This window comes from Homo sapiens, chromosome 9 (genome assembly GCF_000001405.40).
Source record: "Homo sapiens chromosome 9, GRCh38.p14 Primary Assembly".
NCBI classification, from domain to species: Eukaryota; Metazoa; Chordata; class Mammalia; order Primates; family Hominidae; genus Homo; species Homo sapiens.
This window is the reverse complement of record NC_000009.12, coordinates 131,084,665-131,095,638: the sequence shown is the minus strand read 5'-3', so window position 1 is coordinate 131,095,638 and position 10,974 is coordinate 131,084,665. Positions and strand designations below refer to the sequence as shown.

General features: G+C 53.9%; 1 protein-coding gene and 1 long non-coding RNA gene across 3 annotated transcripts in view, besides 3 other annotated features; one reads left to right on the top strand and one right to left on the bottom strand.

Moving 5' to 3' along the window:
* Positions 812-1,313: an enhancer, noted in NCBI's record as "H3K4me1 hESC enhancer chr9:133969713-133970214 (GRCh37/hg19 assembly coordinates)". NCBI's record gives its function as "activates a minimal SCP1, AML or CMV promoter by ChIP-STARR-seq in primed H9 embryonic stem cells {active_cell/tissue: H9 hESC(primed)}" and the evidence as "EXISTENCE:reporter gene assay evidence [ECO:0000049][PMID:30033119]".
* Positions 1,166-10,974, bottom strand: part of LAMC3 (laminin subunit gamma 3) — an 85,300-nt gene continuing 75,491 nt past the window's right edge. Inside the window, exons 25-28 of one of the 2 annotated variants that reach the window (XM_011518121.2) lie at positions 9,916-10,133; positions 8,017-8,163; positions 7,822-7,921; positions 1,166-4,102 (exon numbers count right to left, since the gene is read on the bottom strand). In XM_011518121.2, coding sequence (XP_011516423.1) covers positions 3,852-4,102; positions 7,822-7,921; positions 8,017-8,163; positions 9,916-10,133 — 716 coding nt within the window. In that variant the 3' untranslated portion in view covers positions 1,166-3,851. The remainder of the gene's footprint in view (positions 4,103-7,821; positions 7,922-8,016; positions 8,164-9,915; positions 10,134-10,974) is intronic. The other variant, NM_006059.4, reaches the window with a different exon arrangement.
* Positions 2,111-2,707: an enhancer, noted in NCBI's record as "H3K4me1 hESC enhancer chr9:133968319-133968915 (GRCh37/hg19 assembly coordinates)". NCBI's record gives its function as "activates a minimal SCP1, AML or CMV promoter by ChIP-STARR-seq in naive H9 embryonic stem cells {active_cell/tissue: H9 hESC(naive)}" and the evidence as "EXISTENCE:reporter gene assay evidence [ECO:0000049][PMID:30033119]".
* On the top strand, positions 2,267-7,514 carry LOC124902289 (uncharacterized). Its single transcript, XR_007061825.1, has 3 exons — positions 2,267-2,363; positions 7,097-7,277; positions 7,478-7,514. It is a non-coding gene; the product is annotated as an uncharacterized LOC124902289 (long non-coding RNA).
* Positions 2,708-3,306: an enhancer, noted in NCBI's record as "H3K4me1 hESC enhancer chr9:133967720-133968318 (GRCh37/hg19 assembly coordinates)". NCBI's record gives its function as "activates a minimal SCP1, AML or CMV promoter by ChIP-STARR-seq in naive H9 embryonic stem cells {active_cell/tissue: H9 hESC(naive)}" and the evidence as "EXISTENCE:reporter gene assay evidence [ECO:0000049][PMID:30033119]".

The window sequence follows — 10,974 nt, the reverse complement described above, 5'->3', positions numbered from 1 at the left end:
GGAGTGCAGCGGCTTGATCTCGGCTCACTGCAACCTTCGCCTCCGGGTTCAAGTGATTCTCCTGCCTCAGCCTCCCAAGTAGCCGGGACTACAGGCACACACCACCACGCCCAGCTAATGTTTGTATTTTTAGTAGAGACGGGGTTTCATCATGTTGGCAAGGTTTGTCTCGAACTCCTGACCTAAGGTGATCCACCTGCCTCGGCCTCCCAAAGTGCTGGGATTACAGGCGTGAGCCACCACGCCCAGCCGAGATCATCATTTTTCTGTGGCTGTCCCTGGGGAGGGAAGTGCCCAGCAAGGGGCTAGGCAGAATGGGATGGGGCTGAGGTCAGGGCAGCAGTCCAGGGGGCAGGCCCCTCCTCCCCAGTAAGACCAGCGCCCACCTCTCCTAGCTGACGCTCCTCTGTCCACTCACCCAAGGGTTTGGATTTGGCCAAGCTGCATGACCTTAGGCGAGGCACTTGATCTGGCTGAGCTTCAGTCCCCTGATCTTCACAATGAAGTAACCCAGAACGCACTAAGCAGGGGCTTTTGTAACTTTGATGACTTGCTGGATGGTTTAAGCAGAGAGTAAAAGCTTAGCGTTACCACCCTTGGTGGATGGGAGCTGACTTAGGACAGAGCCCTCATAATGCACTTCCCTCTCCAGGCTCCAACAGCCTATTGCCCTGGCCGGTTGGGCTGGTTGGCTCCAGTCAGCCATCCTACAGGGCAGGGGCCACCCCACCTTCTGCTCAGCTGCTGGACTGCATTGCTAGCCAGATGTTCAACAGCTGCCGCATTCCACCCGGCAGCGGCCCCACCTCTGGGGCCAGAGAATAGATCAGCACATGCACCAGGCATGATCAGACTGCGTGAGTCACAACATGTCAGGCCCGAGTTCTCCACCCGTCGGGGATGCTGGGACTGAGCTGAGCTGGATCCCACGGCTTGAGTGGATAAAGGCTGAGTGCCAAGAGCAGGCACCAGGACGACTGTGTGCCATCGGCTGAGAAACTGGAGGGAGGCGGGAGGGGGACATCAGACCCTATCCCAGAGGTCTTGGAAGAACTCCATATTCTCGACATCACTTACACCAGACGCCAATCACCAAACTCACTGTGCAGCAGCAGCTCCCCCATCTTCGGCCTCTCCACCTCTGCCCAGACATCTAGGGACCAAGTCACTCCTAGCTCAGTTTAATCATGTCAATCCCCCACCGTAGCCTTGATTTTACAGTTTTCTGTGGAGGAGCACACCTCTTCTCTGAACACCATCTCCCATTAGGTTGGGGGGTGGCACCGGTCATCCATTATTGGCCTTAGATCCAGAGATCCTCATTATCCTGAACGGGGGTTGGTGGGACTTCACCTAAGCTGAGAAGCTGGAATCAGGACAGAGTCACCAGCTTGTCTCTTGCAAGCACTGGACCTGATGACATGTACACCTGGGGCCATTATGGGGGATGGCGGTAGGGGTGGGTGTCCTCTCCTATCAGGCACAAGAAAAACAAAGAAAGCCACTCTGCAAAGAGAAAAGAATGGGCCGGTTGCAGTGGCTCATGCCTGAAATCCCAGAACTTTAAGAGGCCAATGCAGGTATATCATCTGAGGTCAGGAGTTTGAGACCAGCCTGACCAACGTGGTGAAACCCTGTCTCTACTAAAAATACCAAAATTAGCTGGGCATGGTGGCAAGCACCTGTAGTCCTAGCTACTCGGGAGGCTGAGGCAGGAGAATTGCTTAAACCTGGGAGGTGGAGGATGCAGTGGGCAGAGATCATGCCACTGCACTCCAGCCTGGGCAACAGAGCGAGACTCCATCTCAAAAAAAATCAATAAATAAAGAGAAAAGAACGAAGCAGATACAGGAGAGGAGAGCAGAGACACAGACCAAGAAGAGAGGCGGGAGGGGGGAAGAGGGAAGCCAACCTATCCCGGAAGCCTCAGGCTCCCCTCCCTAGGCTATCTCCAACACGTGGCAGCCGTTTTTACTCCAGGGTTCCAAGCGACCCTCCCAACACCCCTTTTCTGCTGAAACCACCTCAGGAGGGGTTTGAGGCCTGCGGCCAAGAGCCCTGACTGAGCAGCTCCAACATCCCACCCCATTCAACCTGGGGTCCTGGAGTGATGCAAGCTGGCCGAGCCCCAACCCTGCGGGCCCCGGACTGTTGTCCACCCTCTTGCCTGGAATGCTTCCTTCTCTGCCTCCCCACCCTTCAAGGCCCCACCCACACCATCCCCCTCCTGGATGGCGCCCCTCCCTGCTCCTCACCATCCTCGGACACTTGGCTGTGAGTTCGTCTCGAGCCTGAACCAGAGGTCAGCTGAGGGCCTCTCCGCACCCCACCCCTCCAACTCACCAGCTCCTAGGCTTTACGTGGTAAGTGCCTGAGAGGACAGGGTAGGTACCTGTGATCACACAACCCCAGCAAAGCCCTCTAATGGGAGGTACTGGCCCAGCCACGAGCTCGGCTTTTGCCACCTTCCTACCAACGTCCGGTCCACATGCTGGCCACCTACTAGGTGTGTCATATGCACACCCACAGCCAGGGCCCTGGCTGCCCACCAGCCGGGGAGGGTGAGGCACACCACCCTGCCCAGTGAAAGGGTCCTTTATTTCCACGTTCAACGGAATTGGTCTGTGCTGCTGCCCTACCCCTGCCCCTGTCAGGGGAGCCACGGGAGGGGGCTGGGCCCGCAGAGGTGCCTGACTTCCCAATGCCGAGGCCTTGCCATCTGCTGGAAGAGGGTCTGGGAGAGGGGAGGGATGCCAAGAGGAAATGCTGAGGAGTCCTGGGCAGAGGCCAGCATGCGGGCCTGGCCACAGGGCGATTCCCAGACAGGACAGACTGGAATGGCAGCCAGGCTTGCACACCCTGGTGGCCTCCCGCATGGCAAGTGGTGCCGCAGGGCTGGTCTGGAAAGCGTCAATTAAAGGTCAACTGGGTTGCCGGGGGCACAGAGGCGTGCTCCTGGTAGCCTGAGCACCCTGACCTAGGCGCTTTTGGGCCTGGCTCTTTGGATAGATCACAGGCTGAAGTGGGTACAGGCCAGGGTGGGCCATTCCCTCAGGGCATCTGGTGCAGTCCCAGGACCCTGAGAGGGAAGCGTCCGGTGAAGGCAATGACACCCCCGCCAGGAATGGGCCTTGCTCTAGCCAGACTAGCAGGCCTGGCCACGGCCTCAGGGTCTCTGGGCCTCAGATTCTGCTGCTAAGAACCCTCCCGGGATCTTGCATTTCTTGGCCTGTTGGTCCCCTGGCTGTGTCGAGCTGTAGGGAGTGCACGCAGCAACACAGGTCAGGGAGCTGCTGTGAAACAGAGGGCAGCCAGCTCTGGGACTAGGGGCTTTGGCTGTTGCTGACCCCCTTGATCTCTGCAGATCTGCTGAGACCTCCCTGCTATCTGGAGTGAGTGGATGTAGCACCCCAGGGCATCTCATGTAACAACTTGCCCAACATCCAGAGGGTGTCCAGCACACAGGTGGCTCTCACAACAGCTGTGGACTGTAATGTGTGTGGACCGTAAGCTGCTGACTGGATGGATTAGACTTGAACACGTGTGGGTCATACACACAGACATGCACCCTCACGTGTGTATGTTATTGACACTGGGGTGTGCCCGTTTATGCATGTGCAGGGGTGAGAGTGTGCACTCATGTCCAGGTGAACTGGGTACGCACACTCAGTCCTGCTGGCAGGGAAGAAGCCACAGACAGAATCGGCAGGGAGTGACTATCCACACGGGGGCGAGTTCACAGCAGCCGGCTCCGGGGAATGTCTGTATGGGCACACCTGTGGGGTAGTGTGCACCCCCTGGGTCATGTAAACAGCAGGTGGGGGAGTGTGTGCCGGGGATCTGGGCAGCCCTCACTGCCAGCTGGCACAGTTCTCGGGCAGGCTGTGCAGAATGGCCTCCAGGTTCTGTTTGTCGGCGCGGATCTCGGCGAGGTCACTCTCGAAGCCCTGGATCTGCAGCTCCTGCTGCTGGGATTCCTGCTCCAGCAGACTGAGTTTCCTCTGCAAGGACCCCGGGGAGCCCAGCTGCAGCCTCAGGCGTTCTAGTGCCCACTGAGTCTCGTTCAGGGCCTGGGCTGGGGCTTGATGGGTGTCCAGCGACCCTGTGGTGGGGCACAAACAGCCTCACTGTGAGCCAGCAGCCCTGCAGGCCCCAGGGCACCTCCCAGCCCCTGAGCCTCTCCCCAGCTCAGGCCTCCCAGGATTCCAATGGCCCACCATCCACCAGGGAAAGATGGGGAGCAGAAGGGCTGGGAGGTGGGTGAGGACCCATAGCATCCCAACGGGCCCATGGGCAGACTCTAGAACATCCTCCTGGGTGGCACTTGACAAATGTCATTTTTGTTGATGGTTTTACTATTATTGTTAAAAAAGAAGGCCTCAGGTGAGTCCTCTCTGAGTCTTAGTTTACTCATTTACAAAACAGTGTGGGAGAAAGGCCCCTGTGATTTTTGCCAGCTTGAACATGCTGGCTCAATTCACTGACAGCACACGTTTACAGATGCCGCCTGTGGGCCTGGATGTGGGCAATCACTGGGGTAAACCACAGGCCCACACCACCATGCCCAGCTAATTTTTGTATGTATGTATGGATGGATGGATGCATTTATTTATTTATTGAGACGGAGTCTCGCTCTGTTGTCCAGGCTGGAGTGCAGTGGTACGATCTCAGCTTACTGTGGCCTCAGGTTCAAGCGATTCTCCTGCCTCAGCCTCCCGAGTATCTGGGATTACAGGTGCCTGCCACCATGCTCCGCTAATTTTTTTGTATTTTTAGTAGAGACAGGGTTTCACCACGTTGGCCAGGCTGGTCTCAAACTCCTGACCTCAGGTGATCTGCCCGCCTCAGCCTCCCAAAGTGCTGGGATTACAGGTGTGAGCCACCACGCCTTGCCTAATTTTTGTATTTTTTGTAGAGACAGGGTTTCACCATGTTGGTCAGGCTGGTCTCAAACTCCTGACCTCCAGTGATCCACCCGCCTTGGCCTCCCAAAGTGCTGGGATTGCAGGCATGAGCCACCATGCCCAGCCCCAAGTGGCTGCTTCTAACCCCACAGGATTCCACTGGGCCCCTGGGATCCCCGAGGCCCTGGATTTCCTGGGCAAGCAGCTGCAAGCACTGAGCCAGTGTGCAAGAGAAGGCAGAGGGGAGCCAAGGCCCTGCTGACCTAGGAGGACCTCAAGAGGCCCCATGGCCCACAGCAAAATCCAAACAGCCTGGTCTTCGAAGAGATTCAGAAATGGATTACAGCCCCCACTCTACCTGCCCAGGCTGCCTAGGGCTCCTGGAGAAGGGGCCAGGCGTGTGCTCTTCATTCTGCATCCCCAGGCCAAGCACAAGGCCAACACAGAGTGTGACAAGTGAATGAATGACAGTGACAATGCAGGAATGGTTGAAGAGAGTGTCTGCTCCACGACAGGGCCTTAGGTGTCGACTAGTGGCTACCTGCACGCACGCTGAGTCACTTGGACCCGCAGGTGAGCCACGGCTTTCCTACCGACTGGCTGTGGGACCCTGGGCACATTATCTAAACTCTGTGCTAAGCTGGGTGTGGTGGCTGTCTCCCGTAATCCCAGCATTTTGGGAACCTGAGGTGGGAGCATCCCTTGAGGCCAGGAGTTCAACACCAGCTTGGTTAACATAACGAGACGCTGTCTCTACAAAAAAACAAAAATAAATAAAAAATAAAAATAAACTCTCCTCACCTCAGTTTCCTCATCTGCAAAACGGCAAAAGAATAACTGTCCTTGCGTCAAAGAGTGAGTATGAGAATTCTGTAAGATCACGTGTGTGAATAGCTTAGTGTGGGCCTGGTGTCCAGACAACGTGTAGAGCATGGCAATTCTCTCTCCTCTTACTACGAATGAAAATTGAAAATGCTTGCTGCCACATGGGTGAATCTTGATGACTTTCTGCTAAGTGAAATAAGTCAGTCAAAAGAGGACAAATAAGGCCGGGCATGGTGGCTCACGCTTGTGATCCCAGCACTTTGGGAGGCCAAGGCAGGAGGATCACTTGAGCCCAGTAGTTTGAGACCAGCCTGGGCAACATAGGGAACATATTTTTTTGTCTCCAAAAAAAAAAAAAAAAAAAATTAGCTGGGTGTGGTGGTGCGTGCCTGTGGTCCCAGCTACTTCGAAGGCTGAAGTGGAAGAATCGCTTGAGCCCAGGAGTTTGAGGCTGCAGTGAGCCACGACTGCACCACTGCACTCCAGCCTGGGTAACAGAGCAAGATCCTGTCTCCAAAAAAATTTTAAAAGTACAAATACTATATGATTCCAGTTATATGAGGTCCCCAGAGTAGTCAAATTCTTTTTTTTTTTTAAGTTATAGGGTACATGTGCACAACGTGCAGGTTTGTTACATATGTATACATGTGCCATGTTGGTATGCTGCACCCATTAACTGGTCATTTACATTAGGTATTTCTCCTAATGCTATCCCTCCCCCCTCCCCCCACCCGATGACAGGCCCCAGTGTGTGATGTTCCCCACCCTGTGTCTGAGTGTTCTCATTGTTCAATTCCCACCTATGATTCTAAGCAAGTTCTTCTTTTGAGACGGAGTCTCACTCTCACCCAGGCTGGAGTGCAGTGGTGTGATCCTGGCTCACTGCAACCTCCGCCTCCCAGGTTCAAGCGATTCTCCTGCCTCAGCCTCCTGTGTAGCTGAGATTACAGGCATGTGCCACCATGCCTGGCTAATTTTTTTTATATCTTTAGAAGGGACAGGGTTTCACCATGTTGGTCAGGCTGGTCTCAAACTCCTGACCTCAAATGATCCACCCACCTTAGCCTCTCAAAGTGCTGGGATTACAGGCATGAGCCACCCTGCCTGGCCCAGAGTAGTCAAATTCATAGAGACAGAAAGTAGAATGATGGCTGCCAGGGGCTGGGGGAGGGAAATGGGGGGTTAGTGTTTCAGGAGGACAGAGCTTCAGTTGGAGATGATGAAAGTGTTCTAGAGATGGGTAGTGGTGATGATCGCACAACAATGAATATACTTAATGCTGCTGAACTGTACACTTCAAAATGGTTAAGATGGAAAATATTATGTGTCTTTTACAATTTGAAAAAAATACATGCTGTTCTTTTCAGCCCAACTGCCCTGTCTGCTGTCTCCTGAGCCTCCCCACAACACTGGGCCTCTGCAACCTTCGTGCCTTGGGAGGTGCTATTCCCTTCATCCAAAATGCCTCCTTGCTAAGGCCCATCTTGAATCTGACCTCCTTCCTACGAGCCGCTATTTACTCACTCTCAACATACACCACGCACCGTGGTAAGCGCTTTCTAAACCACCCCACTGTTACTCCCATTTTCCAGATGGGGGATCTGAGGCTCAGAGAGGTGGAGTGGCTTGCCCGAGGTCTAATGGCCAAAGAAGGGACAGAGCCAGACTTGAATCTTAGTCTGATCCCAGACCAGCACCTGATGACACTTTCTGCCGTGACAGTCTTTCTTCTTCTCCTGAACCCTCAGCTCCTGAGGACTGACCTGCTCACCTGCTCACCCGGTGCCTGTGGGTGTTCTTGCCAATGGTGAGTTTTCTGTGTGCCCCCTGCCCTGCCCCAAAGAATAGAGGGCCCTGGAGGCACAAACAGTTACTCAAAGTGAACTCACTTCTAGATGCCAACCCTGTCCCACATGGCAAGGGGGCCTGGGCATGGTTATAAATGCTTGTGATTGACCACAAAGATGGGGATGCGGGAAGCATGGCAATGAGGACAAGGAGGAAATCTTCCCCAGGACTGGAGCTCACAGGAAGATCCTAGAGGTGCCCCAGGGACCCAGGGGTTCAGGGCCCAGCCTTAGGGCCTCCTTACCCAGCCTGGCAAGCAGCTCTGACAAGGTCTCGATGTCCTTCTCCAGTGAGATACGCGATTCCCGGATCTGCTGCTCCATCTCGCTCAGCCCAGCACCCACCTTTCAGGGGGAGGAGGAAGAAACAGCTTGAATGGCGTCCCCACCCGGGCTGCCAGGGGCAGGAGGCGATAGGGTAGGGGCCCTGGCAAACGTACCCGCTCAGCTTCCTCCAGCTCCTGTCTGCGTGCTTCAGACGCCAGCACCTGCTGGGACGCCTGTTGGAGCGTGGCTTGCGTCTGGCTGGTGAGCCTGCTGGCACGGCGGTGCGCCTGTTTCCGCTCCCTCAGCAAGGCCTTGGCAAGCTATGGGATGGGTGGCAGTGGCAGGGAGAAGAAGTGAGTGCAGCAAGTCCTTTTGGAGGTAAATAGCTCTTATGGCAATGATGCCAAGCAGTTGTCTGTACCAGGCAGATCATTCATTCATTCATGCACGCAACAAATATGTACTGAATGCAGGCTAAGTGCTGGGCACAGTGTAGACTGCTGGATACCACCCGTTTCAGGAGGAGCAATTCTAACTATTTTACAGGTGAGGAAACAGAGGCACAGAGGGGAGGAGGGGCTGGCCAAAGCCCGAGGGGCATGACAAGAGATCAAGCCCGGGGACCCCTACTGCAAACCCAGCACTTTTCCTAGGCACCATAAAGACAGTTTCCTTGGTGTGTGAGCAACAGAACCAGCAGCAGAGCTGGGGAGATAGGCACTGATTAGAATTTGGCACCAATTTTTTAAAAGCCTAGTTAAAATCAGCCAGGGCTGGGTGCAGTGGCTCATGCCTATGGTCCCAGCACTTTGGGAGGCTGAGGCAGGAGGCTTGCTTGAGACCAGAGGTTCAAGACCAGCCTGGGCAACATAGTGAGACCCCAATCTTTTTTTTCTTTTTTTTTTTCGAGGCAGAGTCTCCCTCTGTTGCCCAGGCTGGAGTGCAGTGGTGCAGTTTGGCTGACTGCAACCTCCACCTCCCAGGTTCAAGCAATTCTTGTGTCTCAGCCTCTGGAGTAGTTAGGACTACAGGTGCGAGCCACCATGCCCGGCTAATTTTTTTGTATTTTTAGTAGAGACAGGGTTTCACCATGTTGACCAGACTGGTCTCGAACTCCTGACCTCAAGTGATCTGCCTGCCTTGGCCTCCCAAAGTGCTGGGATTACAGGAGTTAGCCACCACACCTGGCCGAGACTCCTCATCTCTGCAAAAAAAAAAAAGTTAGCCAGGCACAGTGGCACACACCTGTAGTCCCAGTTACTCAGGAGGCTGAGGCAGGAAGATCACTTAAGCCCAAGGGTTTGAGGCTGCAGTGAGCTGTGATTGTGCTACTGTACTCCAGCCTGGGCGACAGAGACCCTGTCTCTACAAAAAACAAACAAACAAGCAAAAAAAAAAAACAAAACCAAAAACCCTTAAGCTGGGTGCAGTGGCTCACACCTGTAATCCCAGCACTTTGGGAGGCCAAGGTAGGTGGATCATCTGAGATCAGAAGTTCGAGACCAGCCTGGCCAACATGGTGAAACCCCGCTCTACTAAAAATACAAAAATTAGCCAGGTGTGGTGGAGCACGCCTATAATCCCAGCCACTCTGGAATCTGAGGCAGGAGAGTCACTTGAACCCAGGAGGCGGAGATTGCAGTGAGCTGAGATTGCGCCACTGCACTCCAGCCTGGGCCACAGAGTAAGAATCTGTCTGAAAAAATTAAGAAAAAAATTGAAAACAAAAAGGCAGGTAAAATAAATAAACGCAAACTTCAAAATAACAAAAAAGAAAAGAAAAACCTAGAAGTTTAGGCAGGAAAGCCAGCAGACCCAGGTGTAAGTCCTGGTTAAGTTCATGAAGCTGGCTGCACCTCAGCATTCTCACCTGTACAATGGGGACAGCAATGACACCTATTTCGTGAGGAACCCACAGACTCACCCCCGTGAAGTCTCTGAGCTAATTGCCTGGGCCCACTGAGCAGTGAGTGAGTGCGGAGTAGTCAGCACGGATGTCGGGAAGGGGCCCGCGGAAGGGCGGTCCCCCCGGGAGGGAAGGAGGCCACTGTTGTCACAGCCACCACCCTGACCTTGGCACTGTCCTTGGCCAACACCTCTGCTTCTCTGCCCTTCTTCTTGGCACTGGAGGAAAGAGGGGCCGCGTTTCCCAGCATCCTCTCCGCCTGCTTGGTCTTCTTTCTCGTGTCTGCAAGGAGTCTGTCACTGACGGAGTCTGCCTTCCTCTGCAATGCCGCCTGGTCCTTGGGCCGGGGAAACTGCAGCTTCATTCCTGCAAACCCGGCTGAGGCTGGGTCAGGGGAACTGGGCTCACACCTCCGGTGCCTCCCAGGCAGCCGCTGGCAGAGCTGCCTGGCTGACCACAGACCCTTGGACAACGAGTGGAGGTCTGAAGTGCATGCAACGTGCATATCGCCTTCTCAGGCTTATCCAGGAGAAAACAAAAGCAAGCGAGACACAGACATACTGCTTGGGGAATTTTGAGATGAGTATTCATTCTATTAGGATGTCTATTAAAGTCAAGGAATTACATGGTGGTCAATGCTGGGGCCAGTGGTGGGGACTAGCACAGTCCATGGCTCAGTCTGCTCAGCTCGGCATTTTCATGTACTGCCTACGTCTAAACAATGCTTTAAGGCAGTGTATAGTGATGGGTAAATCAACAAATGGATCCTTACCATGGAAAACCAAGAGTCTGATGTAACTGGAGGGATGAGGAAGGACAGAGGAGAGGGAGAAGTACCAGAAAATCTCGATAATGACATTGCAGAAACCAAATGTTTGATTGACCACTGAGCTTTCAAGCAATCAAGACAAAAAGGGAAATGTTACAATTCTCTTTTTTTTTTTTTTTTTTGAGACAAGGTCTCGCTCTGTCACCCAGGCTGGAGTGCAGTGAGACAAGGTCTCGCTCTGTCACCCAGGCTGGAGTGCAGTGGAGAGATCTCAGCTCACTGCAACCTCTGCCTCACGGGTTTAAGCAATTTTCCTGCCTCAGCCTCCTGAGTAGCTGAGATTATAAGCACACACCACCATACACGGCTGGTATTTTTTTTTTTTTAGTAGAGATGGAGTTTCACCATGTTGGCCAGGCTGATCTCAAATTCCTGGCTTTAAGTGATCCACCCACC